At 40.6% G+C, this 20,971-nt stretch overlaps 2 protein-coding genes across 17 annotated transcripts in view, besides 1 other annotated feature; one reads left to right on the forward strand and one right to left on the reverse strand.

The window, feature by feature from the left end:
- On the reverse strand, positions 1,640-4,165 carry LOC105377015 (translation initiation factor IF-2-like). Its single transcript, XM_047449400.1, has 2 exons — positions 3,387-4,165; positions 1,640-2,799 (listed from the first exon to the last, which is right to left on the reverse strand). The coding sequence occupies exon 1, from the start codon at positions 4,163-4,165 to the stop codon at positions 3,725-3,727; it is 441 nt and encodes a 146-aa protein (XP_047305356.1). The 3' UTR covers positions 1,640-2,799; positions 3,387-3,724.
- TGFBR2 (transforming growth factor beta receptor 2) overlaps positions 3,597-20,971 on the forward strand; it is an 87,787-nt gene continuing 70,412 nt past the window's right edge. For 6 of the 16 annotated variants that reach the window (NM_001407136.1, NM_001407133.1, NM_001407126.1 and 3 more), the window contains exons 1-2: positions 3,842-4,218; positions 20,440-20,514. Coding sequence is in view for 10 of the 16 variants with exons in the window: in NM_001407126.1 (NP_001394055.1) it covers positions 4,125-4,218; positions 20,440-20,514 (169 nt within the window). In the remaining 6 variants the exon portion in view is untranslated. The other 10 variants (NM_001407135.1, NM_001407134.1, NM_001407127.1 and 7 more) reach the window with 4 other exon arrangements.
- Positions 3,916-4,015: a silencer, noted in NCBI's record as "silent region_14158". NCBI's record gives its function as "represses an Ori minimal core promoter by ATAC-STARR-seq in GM12878 lymphoblastoid cells {active_cell/tissue: GM12878}" and the evidence as "EXISTENCE:reporter gene assay evidence [ECO:0000049][PMID:35858748]".

Here is a 20,971-nt window from a genome sequence, read left to right on the forward strand (position 1 = left end):
TAAATAACAATAATGTACTCCATGTTAGAATGGGGCAAACATTTTTTTTTAAAAAAAGGCTAAATAAACGAAATGTTCCCTGGGTTATCCCTGGGAAAGGAGTGATCACAGTAGGTGAAGCATCACAAAATATTTCCTGGAGGAGGTAGCATCATGGATGACCCACAAAGGGTGGATGACCCTCACAAATTAACTACAGTCTCAGTGCTTATTGGTTTGCTTCACAATAAAAGGAAAATTGGTCAAGAGATAAGAGCTGAGAATGAGGCTGGTTAATTTATAAGGAGAGGAATCTCCCTGTTAACTGCTCTAGCTGACAGTAACCTCAACAGCTGCATGTCACAAAGCTCAGGGGAGTAGGAAGTTCTTCTCTCATCACAACTGAGAAACCCAACGTTTAAATAAACCACAATTTGATTCAGTTCAATTGTGTGTGTTTGTGTGTGCGTGCAGAGTTTAAAAAGCTGGTAAAATAGATTGTCAGCTTTTAAAATTTCTGTTCAAGTTGATATTTATTGTTTTTCAACTCATTAAGGGCTTAAACGTTACCTTCCTTGTTTTTTAAACCCTGAGTCGGGCTATTATTTTTTTGTTCCCATTTGCAAATGGCCCAGTTTTTTACATGTATATATTAACTGCTTATGTGAATACACAAAATATTATACTAAGCCAAATATACAACTATGTGTGAAAATGATGTCTTGATTAAGGGTATCAGACATCCCTTTCAACAAGAATTTCAAAAGGAAGGGCATCATGACAATTTTTTTTTCTTTTTCTTTTATTTATTTTTTGTTTTTGAGACAGGGTCTCATTCTGTCTTCTAGGCTGAAGTGCAGTGGCACAATCATGGCTCACTGCAGCGTTCGTCTCCTGGGCTCAAGTGATTCTCCCACCTCAGCCTCCTGAGTAGTTGGCACTATAGATACATGCCAACATGCCTGGCTTTTTTTTTTTTTTTTTTTTTTTTAGTAAAGATGAAATCTCACTATGTTGCTTAGGCTGGTCTCGAACTCCTGGGCTCAAGTAATCCTCCCATCTAGACCTCCCAAAGTGCTGGGATTACAGGTGTGGACCACTGCACTCAGCCTGATGAATTTTTAAAATTATCAAATTGCAATATGCATGAGTTTACACATCTATTATTTTTATTATGATGATTTTCAAAAGGCTAGCTTGCACTTGGCAATGCTGAATTCTGATTCTTCTCAATTTCACAGGAGACTGGAGATTAAATCAGAAATGTTAAGGGCAAACAAAATTAAAATCAACATTAATGATGTATCATGGCAAAGACCACCAGTTAAACATTCCACCATAGATTTAAATATCTAGCCTCCAACAATGTAAAACATCTTTGTGATAATTAAGGAAAACAAAGCTTTTGGAATCTATTGGACATTTATTTGCCACATTGTGTTTTCAGGAGAAAGAAAGTACATGTTTGCTATCTGGAGGAACTTGGGCAAATGTAGGAAAAAAAAAAGAAGAAGAAAGAAACCCACATACTTCTCCATTCTTAAGAAAAGGAAGTAGTGGTGACATCATTCTCGGCTAAAATGTAGTCTGTTTATATCTCAAATATTCGGTAACAATGTTTTCTCCAGAGTTATGAAGCAACTAGAACAATCAAATACAATTTTCTTCTAAATCTTTATTGCCTGATTCATTCATTCATCCAACAAATATTTATTAAACATCGATTATGTGTTTGATGCTTAGGGACACAATAGTAAGTGGAGGGAAAGATACATAATACCTGCCCTCAAGAAATTTGGAGTTGAGTGGAGGATAGAAATATAAATTAAAGAATGACACAAATAATTATAAAGTTACAGCTGTTAAAAGAAAAGCATATGGTGCCAAGAGAACGTGTAATACAAGATCTACTCATGGAGGTGAGGGAAAGCTTGCCCATCAAAGAAGTTATGATTCAATCCACGAAGACCAGGAGTTGGCTGGGTGAAGAAAAAAAGGTCAGAGGAAGGAAGTCCACACTGGGGAAGGCTCTAAGCATAAAGGGTAGGAGGATTACAGAGGCATATTCACGAAATTTGGAGAAGGCTTTCAGTAAGCAAGGAGAAGCCAAATGAAAGTTTACGGGAGAGTTGGAGGCTTGAAGACACGTTCAAGGATCTGGTTTTTATCTTCTCTTTATCTCAAGAGCAGTGGGAAGCCATTAAATGATTTTAATCAGAGGGTTGGTATAACTAGTTTTGTATTTTGAAAAGCTGAATTCAGCTCTCGTTTGAGAAACTGAGTGAAAGAGCCCAGAACGGCCGTGGCTGAGGGTGACTCGTGGGAGACTCCTACACAAGCCATGGCAGTGGCATGGGCTGGTGGCAGAAGAGGGAATAGGGAGAAGATTTGGAACTCAATCTTCCTCCATTGACAAAGTCACTCCAGCTTTGGCAAGGCAATTAATTGGTGGGAAAGAAGATGCCTAGCCCTCCTGATTTCACTGCACTTTCTGCATCTTCAACATGAGTACTGGGAAGTGGCAAAACATCCAGAGGCAGCTTGGGTGCTAGGTGGAGCATGAGTTAAAATTCCAGGATGAAGCAAATGAACACTTAGAATGACAGGAAAGATTTGGGAGTTGGGTTTGGGGGAGGGCTATTTACCTTTATTCCCTGGAGACCCTGGCACAAACCCTTGCCTCTGCAATCTTCCTCTCAGGTAAAGGAATTCATTAAATGAATTGCTAGAAGATCTACTGACCAGAGGGCTGTACAGAATCATATCTTTGAGAGTGGGAAGTAGGTTGATCACATAGTTTATTATCCAATCAGGACATATCTGAAAGAGAAAGGGGGTTCTATTAATATTTAAACTACAAAACATGTACACCAGGAATGTCTTGGGCAAATCTGGTTGCCCTAGCAAGAAAGGAAATTTGAAAGTTTATACTGTTCTGCTCCCATGTTACCCCGTTTGCACATGAGAGGGTAAGTATTCTCTTTCTTCACCTGCATTAAGGGAATAAAAGCACAAGCATTCAGGTGACTCCCAACCCACTTTTAATTTTACAGTTTCTGCTATACTCTATACATTCTGAAAATTACATTTCCCACCACTATCACTTCGTGATAGGTGATCATTTACAATTACTCACTGACTCAGTCCCGGGAAGAGGCGGTGCAAAATGGGACGCTCTATCCAGGTGCTCATTAGAAATGCAGAATCTCTGCCTGCCTCCTAGACCTACTGAATTAGAATCTGCATTTTTAAATAAGATTTCCAGGTGATCAATATGTACATTAAAACTTGAGAAAAACCTCTAGACTTCGACCTAAAGAAAAACATTTTACAACTTGACAGTGTATGCACATACATACATGCATATAGACACAACTGAAGCACAAATTTAATGAAGTAGAATTTACCGTTACTATTTTATTTGGGAAAGAAATGTGCTCGCGACTCAATAGATTGGAGTATTCACTCCTGGATCTCAACTTGCAATTTGAAAACGCATCTCTAAAGCACCTAGGAGCAATCTGAAGAAAGCTGAGGGGAGGCGGCAGATGTTCTGATCTACTAGGGAAAACGTGGACGTTTTCTGTTGTTACTTTGTGAACTGTGTGCACTTAGTCATTCTTGAGTAAATACTTGGAGCGAGGAACTCCTGAGTGGTGTGGGAGGGCGGTGAGGGGCAGCTGAAAGTCGGCCAAAGCTCTCGGAGGGGCTGGTCTAGGAAACATGATTGGCAGCTACGAGAGAGCTAGGGGCTGGACGTCGAGGAGAGGGAGAAGGCTCTCGGGCGGAGAGAGGTCCTGCCCAGCTGTTGGCGAGGAGTTTCCTGTTTCCCCCGCAGCGCTGAGTTGAAGTTGAGTGAGTCACTCGCGCGCACGGAGCGACGACACCCCCGCGCGTGCACCCGCTCGGGACAGGAGCCGGACTCCTGTGCAGCTTCCCTCGGCCGCCGGGGGCCTCCCCGCGCCTCGCCGGCCTCCAGGCCCCCTCCTGGCTGGCGAGCGGGCGCCACATCTGGCCCGCACATCTGCGCTGCCGGCCCGGCGCGGGGTCCGGAGAGGGCGCGGCGCGGAGGCGCAGCCAGGGGTCCGGGAAGGCGCCGTCCGCTGCGCTGGGGGCTCGGTCTATGACGAGCAGCGGGGTCTGCCATGGGTCGGGGGCTGCTCAGGGGCCTGTGGCCGCTGCACATCGTCCTGTGGACGCGTATCGCCAGCACGATCCCACCGCACGTTCAGAAGTCGGGTGAGTGGTCCCCAGCCCGGGCTCGGCGGGGCGCCGGGGGTCTTCCTGGGGTCCCCGCCTCTCCGCTGCGCTTGACAGTCGGGCCCGGCAACCCGGCCCCCGGGCGGAAACGAGGAAAGTTTCCCCCGCGACACTCACGCAGCCCGACTCCCGTAGCTGCAGGGATTGTGAGTTTTTCTTGAAAAAGAGAAGGAAAGTTCAGTTGCAAGGGGCGCGGGGCACGTTTGGTCCCCTTTGTGCGAGCAGGAAAGGCGTTGTGTTGGCCGCGTTCGAGGCGAGCCCCCACCCCCGGAAAGGGAAGTTTGAGAAGTTGGTTATCTGAAGGCGGCCGGGGAGCAGCGGCCCGGAGCGGCAGCCTGAGCTGCCAAAGCAGCCAGCGCACCTGGGCCACTCCGCCCATGGCGATGCCGCGTGCCCACCCAGCTCTTTCTGAGCCACCCGTTCAAAAGGCCAGCTCCTCAGTCCTTAGCTCCTGGAGACGGCCACGCTTTCCCTCAGGCCGGCTTCTTGGCCCGGAGTTTTTGGAAACAAGTTTCAAGAAAATAATCGATTTCCAAAAGAAAGTTAGCTGGCTCCACTGACGCCTTGGCATGGATGGATAGGGAGTGGAGATGCTCAGGTGAAACCGAGAATCCCTCACTGAATGCCTACTGGGTGCTAGAGGCTGTAGATTTTGCCTGGAACAAGATAGTCCTGTCTTCAGGGAGTTGATGGTTCTATGCAATTATCGTTTGTTGGAAACCGAAGGGTTAAAATCCTAACTAGGCTACCCACCTGATCGCTGTCTCTGAAGGTTTTTAAGGAAAAAATAAAAATAAAAAAATATATATATATATTATATATATATAAATATATATATAATTATATATATAAATATATATAATATTAATATATATATGCATGCAGGAATGGGGGTTCTTAACTATTTGTTATGGAAAGTGTAAAACCTCTGAGACTTCAAAAGTTAGATTTTTTTTTTTTGGAGACGGAGTCTCGCTCTGTCACCAGGCTGGAGTGCAGTGGCGCAATCTCGGCTCACTGCAACTTTGCCTCTGGGTTCAAGCGATTCTCCTGCCTTAGCCTCCCGAGTAGCTGGGATTACAGGCGCGTGCCACCACGCCCAGCTAATTTTTGTATTTTTAGTAGAGACGGGGTTTCACCATATTGGCCAGGGTGGTCTCGATCTCTTGACCTCGTGATCCGCCCACCTTGGCCTCCCAAAGTGCTGGGATTACAGGCGTGAGCCACCGCGCCCGGCCAAAAGTTAGACTTTTTGCAGCTATGATCCAAATAACAGTATCTGCAGCTGTGGTCTGGGTAACCGAGTATTTGGGCAAGTCATAGAGCTTTTTCTGGGCCTTAGTTTCCTCATCTGTAAAATGGCCAGCTTGAATCTGGGTAATTTTACATCATCTTCATGTTTAACATCTTACGTATCGTGCCCCTCCCCTCCTTTCCCCTGGCTCTTCTGGTGACTTGGAGATGACCCATGTAGACTTTGGATGAAATGTAGAGGAGTTGACAGTCCACATCACCCGGAGGCACTCATTTTATTTATCCAGGGACATGGGCAGATTTACCTTTAGGTTTGTCTAGAAAAAATGCGCATCACGGTCAGTTGTAAATTTTAGAGTGTTTGAAGTGGATTGGGAACTTTTTAAAAATTATGGCATACATTGAAGGTGGCATGGAGATGGAAGCTTTTAATCAAATTAGGAAGAGGCACTATTGCAAGCAAAAAGTCTTGACACACATTTGAGTCCTATGGTTTTAATAAAATCTTAGTGTTTCGTTCTTGGCGTTTTTCCTGCATTGCAGTACCAGAATGTTCAATTGTCTCTCATTTTCCTCCAGACTTTTAAAACCTAAGTGACATTTTGCTAATAAATATTTAAAATGGCACCCTTAATTTTCTGTGGATGTTAAAAATCATTACAACTTTTGTTCCAGATTATAAAAGAAGGAAATTAGCAGGCCCTGATGTTGTTAGTTAGGTTCTGTTTACAAGGATAAGGTTTATGATTTGCAAATTCCAGACCCAATAGTTCACGAGTCACTTTCATTTCATCAATATACACACTTTTAAACAATTAGCTTAAAAACGTGGTGGCTTTTTATTTGGGTATTTAGACAGTTTTACAAGGCCCACAGATTTCATATTTTTATAGAACTGAAGTTTCAAAATGGTTGAATTAATGAATCATTTTGAATTTGTATTCATTTGATTCAAATTAAATTTTCAAAGTTGGCCAATGGTTGAAGACAGATATATTGAAGACGAGAAACCTAATTCTACTTACATTTTAATTTTTCATGTAAGTAAATAGTTTCAGAATTTCTCTAACGTAATTGGTAAACTGAAAACATTTTTTCAAAATATCTTAATGCAAGATAATATATCAGGTAATGAGATTGTTTAATAAACAACAAGCTCCTTTTACGTCACCTAAAAAGGCCCAAAAATCTGTCTTCTGTTTAGTAGCTTCTGTACTTCTGTTTAGTAGTATGCAAAGGATTTAAATAAAAGAACAAATTTCACTAAGAAATAGAAAGTTTTTTTTTCTTCGTTTTTGACTTAATAGATTCACTCTTCCTAAATGATCAAAATTAAGAAATGACTCTTTTGGGGAAAACTGTAAAGTGCACAATAACTCTTCAGGTCTGAAAAATATGACTTTTCAGGTTCCTGGAAGTAGATAGATTCTTATTGAGGACAAAGAATTTGTAAAAGTGTCATAGTGATCAGGTTCTTCACATCACTTTAATAACCTGCTTATTTTGTCAGGGTAAGAGACTAGACATCATTAGGCCCCAAATCTGATCTTCAGTCTACTCGTGCTTTTTTTCCGCCTCATAAAAACACATTTCCACCTTTAGGCCACTCAACATCTTATTTTTAATGAGTTATGATTTATACAAAATACTAATCACATTTTGAACTCATTGCCTTCTTTTCAATGTAGCATTCCCTAATGATGACTGTTGTCTATGTAGTCAACATAACTACTACATGTTTTCTACTCAGTTATGAACATGACTTTTTAATTTTTTCAGTAAGGTTAGTTTTTAACTCTGGATCAATAAGGCACCTCTGATATCATTGCAAAAACTGGGCATTTTTTCTTCTACCTTTTCAACCATATTTATTGAGTATCTCTTGCCAGGCAGGATGCTCAGACCTGGGATACCATCTCAGATGAATAAGACAGACCTGGTCTTTGCCATTGAATTTAACAGCTGGGAGCATGTTATAAGTAAAGAAAAGGATACGTGTTTTAACTGTTTATATTTGAAAGCATTATGGAATACTGGTGTTTTATTTTCTACACCTCATTTTCAAAAGCCTCATTTTTTTTTGTTGTTGTATGCACTAGGAGGATGTGCATGTTGAATGTTTCCTTCTAGGTCCCATTGAATGTATTTTTGAATCAATTTGTTGTCTCTTTCCTATCCCTGCCTTGTCACGGAGCCCCAGTTGGGCAGCCTTTAATTGCATTCTCCATTCCATAGCCAGCATGATGGACCCAATGCGTTCATTTAGTGCTCTCTTTGAGGATAGGCTGGTGGTAGAAGAGTGTAGGGTATAAACTTTGGAATCAGGCCGTCCTGGGTTCCAGACCCACTTGCCATGTACTGGCTGTGTAGCCTGTTGTAGTTGCTTTACCTACTAGTCATCCCTGGTCTCATTTGTAAAATGAGGATTATGGAGTTATGGTGAGGATTAAATAAAATATTGTTTTAAAGTATTTAACATGGTGCCTGCAACATAGTAAATGCTCAATAAATATCAGCTTCTGTTATTACTATTAACTCCTTAATTGGGCTTACCAGGGGCCTCTGACCTGGTTCCCATTTGACTCTGCTGCTTCACATCCCACCACAGCCCACATTTTCCCAGTCTATTTGTGTCACTACACATACACACAATGTGAGCAATTTAGGCAGCTGTTCCTTTGTTCAGGATGTCTGGAACTCCTGCTACCTGGCTAATTTTCACTCATCTTTTAAGACGTAGTTCAAGTGTCATCTTCTTGAGGAAACCTGCTTTGAATGTCCCAGTTTGAGGTAAATGTCTCCTATGAGATACAGACCTCTCACTTAGCTGGTAACAATACCAAGCCAAAGTCATATCTTTACGTAACTCTCTTGCCCATTATACCTTTAATCCTCTCAATCTTATTCAGTTTTCTATCTCTGGGATCTCTGGCAGTGCCTGACACATCATTTAGCACCCAGGAAGTGCTGAGCTGAGCCTCCACTTCATCCTACTGTATCTAATGCAACTGAGGTCGAGCATTTAACTAAGCAGTCACTGTTTGTTAGGTGTTTGGTCCAAATAGTAAAATCTTTACTTTCAGTTAGAATAGTTTTAGTTCTGATCACAATAAGTAATTTGACTGTTTTTGAAGTATGGAATTGGTTCTTGTATTCTCATGAAATATGGAAAAAGATGTTTCAACTTCTGACAAACATGATGGAAAGCTGCTAGAAGTTTTCATGCAATTCCTTTAGCCATAAATTTTGAATCAGTGTAGGGCCTTGAAAGCCACTGCAAAATTTTAAATAAAGTCACCAGAGGAATTATCCAGTAGATACTGATTCCTCTTTTTTTTTTTTTTCATAGAAGGGTGTCGGAAAGAGAATTTTATTACGAATGAAGTGCTAAAATCTAAATTTATTTTTTAAGTTTCTTTTTTCATTGGGTTTTATGTTTTGGTTTATAAGGGTGAAGCAGCGTTGGTTGAAGGGAAGTGTGGTCTTGTAGCCACCACTGCCTACTCTAGAGTAGCGTGGATATTATTTAGGTCTGATGCAAACCACCAAAGCAGTTTTAAATAGGGTGCAGGGGAAACATACTTCCTGGCTACAGCATGGCATTATTTGGCCAAGTTCCACATAAAAGCATAACTCTGTTACCTTGTTAGCTTCTACCCTCCAGGTCCTTATGTACAACTTCAGCAGATTTAAGTTATGATTTTCAGTAGAACAGATATGCATTCGCAGCAAGAATGCTCACCGCTTCTTTTGCACTCTCTACTTTCCTGGTAATATTTTGCTCCACAGGTACTTGTTGCTTGTGACTGAGGCAAGATAATGACTCATACTTCTTTGCTTGGCATGCCAAAGGGTTTGGAATGCTGGACAGGCAAATTGTCTCATCTCAGGGAGAAGGAAGAGAAAGACAATTAACATTTGAGAACCTACCCTGAGACAGCCACTTGATATTATGTATCTCATTTAATCCTAGGAAGAAATCTCCAAGATAAGTTTTATTATCTTTATTTTATGGATGGAAAGATGGATCCTGCTCAGGGTCTCTCTGGAGTTTTGCCTGGGTGCATGTATGAGTGTGTGGCCCAAGCTTCTTGTGCTTGCATGCTGCTAGGTTCTTTCGTGTGGTCTCTATGTGTGTATGCGTGTGTTGGGAGGGAGGCTGAAGAGGGGTGAATGGATATCAGATTTGAGAGAGGGGAAGCTTACCATCTAATGTCATCAGTTCAGTGCTCCTGATTTAATTGATTTGGTTTGCTTGCATTATCTGCCTCCTTCCTGACTACATTTGTACCACAGAAAATCAAGATAAGGCAGAGTTTCTTTGCATAAGGAAACTCTACAGCCCACAGTTTGACAATGGTGTCTTAGTGGTAGGACTCATGGTGGGTGACCTGTGGTTTGGCCACTTATAGCAGTTGGACATACCCCATTTGCAAAGATGTGTATTGTAAACCCCAAATTTTGAGTGTGTAGGACAATCATTTGTGTACAATCGTGTACAACTGCTGATGAGGGCAAGAAGAGCCGACTTTATCCAACATAACAAAGAAGAAGGGGACAGTTTGACTTTTGAAGGGGACAATTTGAAAACTTATAGGAGGTTAAGATTCTCTTCCTCACCCATTACATCAGGAGTACTTCTGCCTTTTACTTGCCACAGTCAGCTTTCTAGGTCTTAGCACCCAACAAGTAGCAACTATCCTCTTGGGTGTAGTCAGTTTAGTCTACTTATGGCCTCCTGCTTAGACTCTTAAGGGTTCCCTAGCATCTGTGTTTTGTTTGTAGGTTTGAAGCTATCATTATTAGATGAGATTTAGCTTCAGGGCCCGTACCTATGACTGGGGAGATTCTATCTGGGAAAGGTCAAGACATGCAGCTCTTTTTTTTTTTTTTTTTTCTTCTCTTTTCTGAGGGAATATTTTCCTCCAATTTTTTTCAGCTCTACAACTAAAATATAGACCTAGTATATGAACACAACTGGCCTCTGTCCTGGGCCTTAGATGGTACTCTGCTGTCATTCTTCTCTGGTCAGAGCCATGCCTATGGGGTGAGGTGACTTTTGGGCCTTCCAGTCTTACTCTCTTTTCATTTTTAGACCATGATTTGGTTATGTGGGAACCCACATTCGCTGTCCAGAAGGCCCTGAACTGGTATCTGCAGTTTGCATGGATCCTTGAAGCCATCTTCCTGAAGGCTGTCATTGCTACTGGTTGTGCAATCTCTGCACGAGGGTTGTTTAAGGGATAGCTCTGTGTGTGTGTGTGTCTGTATGTGAGAGAGAGAGAGAGAGAGAGAGAGAAAGAGAGAGAGAGACAGAGAGCGAGCTTGGGTGTCCACATATCACAAGGCCCCTCTTGATGTAGGATGGAGCAGGCAGGGGGGAGGAAGGCAAATTGATTACCAGGGCTCAGGATGATGTCTCTCTTTAAACCACCCATTTCTGTGGAAGGACTATGAACATTGTAGGAGTTCTAAAGTTGTACCTGGTCTTCCAAGACATTGAAAAGATATATTTGTCAGTCTAGGTAGAAGGATAACACCTATTTTATTGAGCAGTTTGCTAGCTTGATTTGTAACTTTAAATGTTTTGACTTATGGTACATGGGCCTCTATTTGCTCACTTGCCTTGGGCCTTCCCATGTTGGGGGTGGATCTGCAGCAGCAACATTCCTTTGCAGAGATGTTGGGTAGAAATAAGTTTTGGTTAATTGTACCATTTTTTCCCTGGAATAGACAACATTGAACATTAAAGAAAAAATGAGTTACTTTGTAGACATAGTGCTCTATTTCCTTTGGGAAATGTAGTTTTTCTTAGTTTGCGTTGTCCTGAAGTGAACTTTAGCTCTATACTTTTTTTCTTTCCTTTTTTTTTTTTTTTTTTTAGATTTCCTAGTGCCCTAGTTGCATTTCTTCTGTGTATTGAGAGACCACCAGGCGGGCAAGGTGAAGTTTATCTGAATGTTTTTTCCTCCTATTGTAAATATTTTATTTGAACCAAAAAAAGGCTTGGTTCTTCTCAAGCCTCTTTAAAGAAAACAAGGAAAAAGGCTTCTCAGTGCTTTAGAAGATATAAGATTGTCAAAACTTCATTTTAGAGAACTAGGGATTTGGTTGAACCAACATGAATGCCTTTGAAAGAAGATATGGGTTGGGTGCATATTTTCAGTATATGCTGCAGCAGCTCTTTATTAAAGTATAAATCATTACGAAGTCTTCATTTCCTATGGGGCGATAACACTGCTGCTTTGTGGATGACTACCTGTCACGCCCAAATCCTGCAAACTTTTCTACATAGGGAAATGAAATTGGGCTTATTTCCCCTGTAGCTTTTCTCAAGAGACTTCATGGACTAATTTCCCAATAATCATAGTAGCTACCACTTATTGAGGTCTTGCTACTGCACGGATCATGCTGAGTACTTCAGGTGTATTAACCCTCAAAACAACTTTAGAAGGTAGGTTATATTATGCTTATTATAAATCCTCCAGAGTCAATAAATTTGCCTAAGTCCACCTAGTTAGAAAATGATTAGGCTGGGGTTGGAACCAAGATGGTCTGGTTTGGGGATCTAGATTCCTAATTGTTATACTGTACTGAGACTAGTCTGCCTTAATTGACATAAACTACTTGTCCATTATAGCATGGGTGTTGGAAGACTAGAGGTTAAGAGAAATAATAATATCCAACATTTTTCTAGTGTTTTAGCATTCTTCATATATTATCCCATTGCATTTTCTTAGTGTAATAAAATAACACTCGGTTTATACACCAGGTAGTCAAACATCATGCCTGTCTTGTGATCTCAATGGAAAAATGAAGTGTATACCTCAAGTGATACAGTCTTGGCTGAATCATGGAACAATTATGCCATCAGGAAGTTTAGGTATTCTGAGTAAAACAGGCACTTTATTTGAAAGGACTGGGAGACTTCACAGATGCATCAAATATGTTGAGGATATAAATGCCAGGCTCAGGTGGATTTACTGTGAAGTGCTTGAACTTAACCTTCAAGGCTACCTATACCCTGGTATAGGTCCATCTCCTGGCTCTAGGAGAGGCCCTGGCAATGTGGTTAACAAGTGTCATCAAGTCAAATACTACGAAATCTTGCAGTGCCCTGAATCTTACAGCTCACATATAAAAGAAACCTGATAAAAGTTTTCCAAATTTGAAGTCAATCCAAAAAATTTATATGACATTACCTGTAATGAATTATGAAGCTGAAAGGAACTTTTCCAAATTATTCAAGAATAAATTACAAATTCTGATCTACATTTCTAAAGGGAAGACTGAATTATTTTTCTATTCTCTCAATAGAGAATATTGCAAAATGTTATTGGAAGAGATGATCAAAGAGTGTGCAACCAAAAAATATAGGAGAATTATTTCAGAGGTATGGCAATCAGTTAATAAAAATATTTGTTTTTTAAACACTTCATATTTGTAGTATTTATAGCTTTTAAAAATTTGTTGTTTGTATGATACTATTTAAAATTTTTTTTCCAGAGATGAGATCTCATTCTGTCACTCAGTCTGGAAAGCAGTTGCATAATCATAACTCACTGCAGCCTTGGAGTCCTAGGTTCAAGCAGTCCTCTAGAGTAGCTCGGACTAAAGGCATGCACCACCAAGACCGGCCAGTTTTTTGTTTTTTGTTGTTTTTTAATTTTTGTAGAGATGGTGTCTTACTATGTACCAAGTCTGGTCTTGAACACTGGGGCTCAGAGGAACCTGTCCACCTCTGCCTCCCAAAGTGTTAGGATTACAGGTGTAAGCCACTGCACCCGGCCTGTATGCCATTTTAATTCTAAATAAATATTCACTTTATTCTTAATTTTATATTCACTTTATTCTTAATTTTGTATTCTTCTTCTTAAAGAGTGCCCCTGAAATTTACAAGCTTCAGATTCCAAAGACCTGAGTCTTTGACTAATGGTAGGATTTGTTTGTTGGTTTAGAAAATAAATGTTAAAAAATGCCTCTTCCTCCTTCCCCCCATTGCAAACAGAGACTGAAATCTGCATTGTTATTTCACAAAACCAAAATATTTTTCCTCCAGGTTTAGCTAAACCCTTCATCATTTTCCTACTTTAGAGCCCCATGCCAAGTAGAAAAGAAGTTGCAAAGATGTAATTATCACAAACCTTCATCTTGGATGAAAGATAACCTAGCTCTGACCCTTAGTTTGAGATTAGAAGGACTCTACCTAGGAGACAGCTGGTAAAGACTAAGGTATGTTGTACCAGGAATCTAGGTGTCTGGGTGACCAGGCTGTCTTTCTTCCCACTGGGGCTCATTTTCCTTCTATACAGTGACAAGAATTGGACTAAATAAGATTTCCAGTATTTTCTCTTCTGAAACATTTCATTCTTTGTTATCCCTGTACTATTTTGTTAGTAGAATAAATCATTGAAGTTGAGTTAGAAAATCTTTAGCTAATCAAAATAGAAAACTAACAAAAGTCATGACAGGTCAGAACTGAGAAATACCACAGACTTCCACTGGTGTTCATTGGAGATGACTACTATTAAAAAAAGAGAAGAAAAAAAACCATAGCTATTTTGAAAATTTCCGACTACAGGTGTCTGAGCATACATCCTGACTAAATAGCATGTTTACTTCAGCTAGAGCTCACTCCTTCCTAAATAAAAGGCTTACTTGGTTTTGGTGGTAATATTATTCCTCTTTGGTTAATTATGGTATTTTCATTCTCCCCTTCCTCTGAATTGGTTAAAATGTCTGTGAAAATTTTTCCTAAGGTAGAAAGTTATGAAATGCTTTGCTATGCCTAGGAGATGTAAAGCCTAAAGGAACTTTCATATTTTTTGGGAAAAAAAAAAAAGGAAACTTGTCTAGATATAATTAGTGTTCTGTTGCCTTTCAAATATTTCTCTACCACTTTTCTTAAAATATTCTCAGAAAAGACAGAATTTGCAACAGATTGGCAGTTTTCAGACTGCTGTTTTAGGCAGGGGAGTAGCTGCCGCAACCTCTAATTGCATTTCTGTAGAGTTTGCAGACACTTGTTAGCGTAGACTAGGAATCTTTCAACTTTTGCTGTGAGTGACTACCTTGTTACTACATATCGGATTTGCGTCTCATTCTCTAACGCTCATAGTATTGGGGAAGAAAAAAAGACAATATGATATAATTTGTCCTTCAAGTATGTGAAAAGGAAAAAAATCTAATAATAACATTTTATGTTCATTATTTTGGAATCCCTTAAGTTATATCATTATAAAATAATCTAACAATCTCAATACCCCTGGGCACTCTTACTTTTATTTTTATAATTTATATTGTTAGAATACATTTCTATTCTCTTAGGCCTTTGTTCATTCTACTTTCTCACTTCTTTAGGAGCCTCATTCCTTCCTGAATATTACATTTTATGAGTTATTATATGCATCAAGGCCCAAAGCTTGAGCTCCAGCATTCTGACCCCGAAAATGATGGTTTCCTATCATCTTCTGATAACAGCAACTGAAGATGTTCTAATACCTTGCCGCTTACAGGAGGTCTGGCATCACTGAGAATTTATTGGAAATGAGGATTGTGGGTCCTCTCCCCAGACCTACTGCAACAGAATGTACACTTTCACAAGGTCCCCAGGTGATTCCTGTACACATAGCAGTTTGAAAAACACTGCTGTAATAGCATTAAAGCATGTTCCAAAGAGTAGCCAAATGATCTGCAGTGGTTTTAGTGGATCACATCAGGCTTGTTTCTGTCAATAAAGAAGAGGAGAATTCAAGGAAGAGTTGGCTTAGTTTTATGAGAGTCTTTTGACTCTTCCTAAGCCGTTTTAACTAAAGCTAGCAGAAGACAGAAGGCACTGGTAGCAAGTCAACTAAATGAGTCAGTTTTTAACCAGTCTGTTTCCCCAGTCATCCTTCATGAGTCTTTTGTCCACTGATTGTCCATCCCTTGACCATGGTGAACTGTAGAACCCAAGGACCCATTTCTTTTTTCTTTCTTGTTTTTTTTTTTTTTTTGAGATGGAATCTCGCTCTGTTGCCCAGGCTGGTGTACAGTGGCGCAATCTCGGCTCGCTGCAACCTCTGCCTCCTGGGTTCAAGCGATTCTCCTGCTTCAGCCTCCTGAGTAGCTGGGATTACAGGTGTGCACCAACACACTTGACTAATTTTGTTGTTGTTGTATTTTTAGTAGAGACACGGTTTCACCATGTTGGTCAGGCTGGTCTCAAACTCCTGACCTCGTGATCCGCCCGCCTCGGCCTCCCAAAGTGCTGGGATTACAGGCACGAGCCATCGTGTCCGGCCCCAAGGACCCATTTCTATATCGAACTCACTGCATTAATCATGTTTACCTCATTAGGCATTTACTCACAGATTGCCTTGACATATGTAGGCCCTAATTCATTCTGGAGCTATTATACCACAGCATTTCTTAAAATAGGTAGCACTCTGCTCTATACAAAGTAGGTACCCAATAAATTAATGATTCGATGACAGGTTTTCAGGAAGTGGTTTTACTCTTCAACATTTTTTAATCCTCTTTTGTCTTGAGGAACTTATTTGTCTGATGCTCAGTGAAGACCCAATAAATTTCTCTTGAATTGCTCAACATTTGTTTTAGACTTTTCTGAGAGTGCCACTGTAGGCTTTTTCATTGATTTGCTCCTTTATTTTAATATCATAAGGCAGCTTTTTGTGACTTAGTTACTTTTGTCTTCCAGAATTATGGGTCCCTGTCAGTTATTAATGCTCTTAATTAACAGTAGCCACAATAACCAGTCCTTACAAGCAGTTTCTGATGTTTCCAAATAATTTTATTTTCTGACTTTTTTTTCTTTGCCTTTGACATCTGAACTATACTTGGCAAGAAAAAAAAACATAAAAACTTTCCATTGCAACTCATATCTCATGGTGATTCCTGTTGCATCAAATCTTAAGTTATCCATCAGAAAAGTTACGCAAAATCTATAACCATTTGGTTTTATTTTTGCCCTTGAATTATGCTACCGTAACACAAACCTGAACTCTTATATTTGTCATCTGTAAAAATCACCTAATTGGTCTCTGCTTATGGACACCCTTTGTTCTTTCTCTGTCAATAACACAGGCATTGCCCTCAGTTAAATCTCCCCCCAGATGGCATTTTGAATAGCTGGCCTCTGTTAGAAAGCCTTCCATGGATTTTATGAATCCTAGATCATCACATGGCCTTCCCTTTCTCTTTGAGCATGGGGGCTGCCTCAGTGTCCCTTGGCTCCTAAGAGAGTGCCTTGTGCTGATGGGACACAGGACCAGTTTGATGACTACGTGCACAGATGAAGCCAAACCTCTTGCCCATCATCTATTCCACCCTTCACATCCCTCATGCCCTGGTTCCACTTGAACCCAGCTGCCTCACACATCCTTTTTGCTTACAAATTTCCTAGCTTGTGACCATTCTCCACCACCTCCCCCCAAGTTTTACCATTCTCTATTTGTGCCCTACAACGGCTCCACCCTTTGAAATAACGCCTGGTCTAAATGTTACTTTTTCTAGTGGGCCTTCCTTGATTATCCATCCCACTGTGATTCCTTTTCCTGCCCATAGCCTCTCCGACAAGCCTTGCATTCTCATTCATATGACCTTGTTTGCCAAGCTACCTGTGCTGTCTCTGTGTGTTTTAAACTATTTTACTAGCCAGGCGTGGTGGCTTATGCCTGTAATCCCAGCACTTTGGGAGGCCGAGGCGGGCGGATCACGAAGTCAGGAGATCGAGACCATCCTCGCTAACACGATGAAACCCTGTCTCTACTAAAAGTACAAAAAATTAGCTGGGCGTGGTGGCGGGTGCCTGTAGTCCCAGCTACTCGGGAGGCTGAGGCAGGAGAATGGCGTGAACCTGGGAGGCGGAGTTTGCAGTGAGCCGAGATCGCGCCACTGCACTCCAGCCTAGGCGACAGAGTGAGACTCTGTCTCAAAACAAACAAAACAAAACAAAACTCTTACTAGAATGAAAACTCTTTGAGGGAGAAACTTCTGTCTGATTTTGCCATAGCTCTTAGCACAGATTCTCACTAATTCTGTTTATGTGTTTTGTTTGTTGCTGTTTGGAATTCATTGCTTTTAAAGGCCGAGGAAACTTGCTTTTAGATCCAAGGCGGGGAGTGCTATTTTTTTTTCTCCCAGATGGCTTTTCACCACCAAGTGTAAATGTCAATGGCTTAAAGCCACCTGTAGTATTGTTTGACAGAACCATAGGCTTATGGAAAATCTCGTATGATCTGCTTTGTGTAAATTGTTCTTTACAGTGGAGACTTGCTCTGTCTGCAGTCTTTAGTTTCTGTGAATTTTGGGGAGCTGTGGTGTGTGGGTGTTAAGGTTAATTTTCCATCCATCACTGGCTCTGCCTTTGATTCATTTATTCTCTCATGTGTGAATCTTTTGCAGAAGGCTCAATGCATTATGACTATAGAGACCAGGCAAAGTCATAAAGTAAATCACACCATCTCACGCAGGACAATTTTTTGTCACTCCTGCCTTTTCTCTTTATGAGTCATAGATGATTTCAGTCATTGGGATTGCTGGAATAGGGATGGCTGAAGGGGTCTTGGTGCAATGAAGAGTGCCTGAAGATACTCTTCTACCTACCTGAGGGTAAATAATCCCATATTGCAAAGGTGACCCCTGGTTGTACTTTTTGGAAAGCCCTGTTAAAATGATACATGCTAAGGAGACTTAAATATGAGGCCTTTCTTACCTGGGTGCTTAATAGGAGTGGGTTTCTAAGGATGGTCTTGAATTTGGCCTTCAGCCTTCTCGTCCACCATAGTCCCCATCCATCCTGAATAAACATGCAGTCTAGGTACCACAAGTAGTGTTCTCTTGTGCAAGCACAGCTTCCAGCTGTGTTGCCTGCCTCCCTTTCAGCCAGATCATCACCCATGTAGCCACTCCTCTATGGGAATTCTGGAGCTACCACTGACATCACATTACATAGATTTGGACTGGTAGTGCCCTACCTGCTCTATCTATAGAGGAAAAGGAGATGAAATAAGAATTTTAATATTCTTTTTTTTTTTTTTTTTTTGAGACAGAGTTTTGTTCTTCTCACCCAGGCTGGAGTACAATGGCACGACCTCAGCTCACTGCAACCTCTGCCTCCTGGGTTCAAGTTATTCTCCTGCCTCAGCCTCCCGAGTAGCTGGGATTGTAGGTGCCCACTACCACACCTGGCTAATTTTTGTATTTTTAGTAGAGACAGGGTTTTGCCATGTTGGCCATGCTGCTCTTGAACTTCTGACCTCAGGCAATCCACCCTCCTCGGCTTCCCAAAGTGCTGGGATTACAGGCATGGGCCACTGCACCTGACCAGAATTTTAATATTCTTAAGTCTTAATATTCTGTGGCACTTATTGGAAATGGTTGAAATATAATGCTTTTAATTTAGCATGTCATTGGTTCACTCTCAAAACTACTGAAAAGCACTTATCTTTCAAGATTTTAATGATGATGTTGGTGAGGACGTTTGTGGTAAGTAGATAATCACTTACATTATTCAGCACTTTACAAAGCATTTTCACAAACTCTTGAGTATTGGTTGTTATCAGTTTATTACTGAGATGCCTGTGGTGTCTTCAGGGGACAGGAGAGAATATGTTAACTTCTTGAATAACTGCTGCAGCCGTAGTTAGCCCCCTATGAGCCAAGCCTATTGGCTTTGTTACTCCCAAGGTATAACTTATTTCATATATATAAGCAACTTGACTAAGTATTAGATGTCTGTGTAAGCCATTTTCTGTGAGTCAAAACAATTTTGTTCTTCCTTATGTCTTTCTTCAGAGGTACATCTTTAATAAGTTCTGGGAAGGGAAGTGAAAAACAATGCTTGACCTCTGATACAATGTACTGTTTTGATTATGATCAGCACTTTAATAAAATTTATCATCAAGAAAGTCTTTGGAGTGAGCCCCTGAAAAGCTTGGGAAAGTGATTGATATGGTGTCACTTTTCTTAAATTACCTTCCCATGTTGCTTTAGATGACCAGGGAGGCTAACTTCACTCTTGTGCTCTCTAAATTGAACTGTCCTGAAGTTTTAAGAAAATGAAATGATCAGACTCAGCAGTTCAAGATTGTGTTGGTTGATAGCAGCCACTTAGACCTCAGTTCACTATGGGTTTCTGTGTACTTTATTGGTGGTCACCAAGATGCAATGAAAGGTCCTGATTTTGTGAACATTTCTGCCCACACCCTTCTTTGGTACATACCTTTTGAGAATATGTAAAATGTCTTTCATTGTTAAAATAGCTGTTAAATAATATTAAAGGCAAAAAAAAAAGTCATGAAAATAGTCATTTGCGTACTTCTTCAGGCAGATAGAAAACTAGTACCAGCCAGTGCAATGGCTCAGGCCTGTAATCCCAGCACTTTGGGAGGCCGAGGCAGGCGGATCACGAGGTCAGGAGTTTGAGACCAGCCTGACCAACATGGTGAAACCCTGTCTTTACTAAAAATACAAAAATTAGCTAGGAGTGGTGGGACACGCCTATAATCCCAGCTACTCAGGAAGCTGAGCCAGGAGAATCACTTGAACCCAGGAGACAGTGGTTGCAGTGATCCGATATCGCACCACTGCACTCCAGCCTGGGCAACAGAGCGAGACTTTGTCTCAAAAAAAAAAAAAAAAAAAAAAAAAAAGAGAAAGGAAAAAGAAAAAGAAAAAGAGAAACTAGTACCAGGAAAACAGAAAAAAGAAGTGATTTGAATAATTTCAGTATGATTGAGACATATGGGTGAAAGATCACCAGAGGGAAAAATGTCTAGTCTGATAACTTTGAAGAAAACATATTGACCATGTCTAGTTATAATAATCTTTTAATAATCTCACAGTAATAGAAAGCTTCATTATTTTCAAAACAGTTTCACTTTCCTGTCATCTGTAATTTTAAAAACAGCTCTCTGAGATGGATATAATTATCCTGTTTTACAGATGTGGAAATGGAGGCCCAGAAAGATGAAATCATCTGCCCCAGCTGTAATAGGACTGCCCATCCACTGAGACATAGTAAAGTATCATTAATTAATCTTTTCATCATTTTTCTATTTTTAGTCATGCTCCCTCACTGCTTAATTTGTAAGTAAATCTAAGATAAAAATCTATAGTCTCCTCGTATTTTCATATTTTCATAGCTAAATTGTTAAAGAGGCGATGGCAGTGTACTCATCAGGAGACTTGTTCTTGCCTCGAACATTAAAAGCCCAATTTAAGACTGGAGAATTTCTTCTTTGAGGGTTTTGTCCACCCATCATAAGAGATTTCAAACTATGTAATGAGTCATTTTACTTTTCCCCTTTTCTTATGGGGACAGCTTCTCTTTAATACACCGTGTGGTCTGCCCTCTTGGAGGTTGTGTCACCATTATCAGTAGACAAATGCTGCCATGTGTAAAAGGCTATGCCAGTTTCTGCAGTCCTGTAGTTTTGCCCCTCACTAGAACTTCAAGTTGCTTAACCTAATCAGG

Source organism: Homo sapiens, chromosome 3 (assembly GCF_000001405.40).
Source record: "Homo sapiens chromosome 3, GRCh38.p14 Primary Assembly".
NCBI lineage: Eukaryota > Metazoa > Chordata > Mammalia > Primates > Hominidae > Homo > Homo sapiens.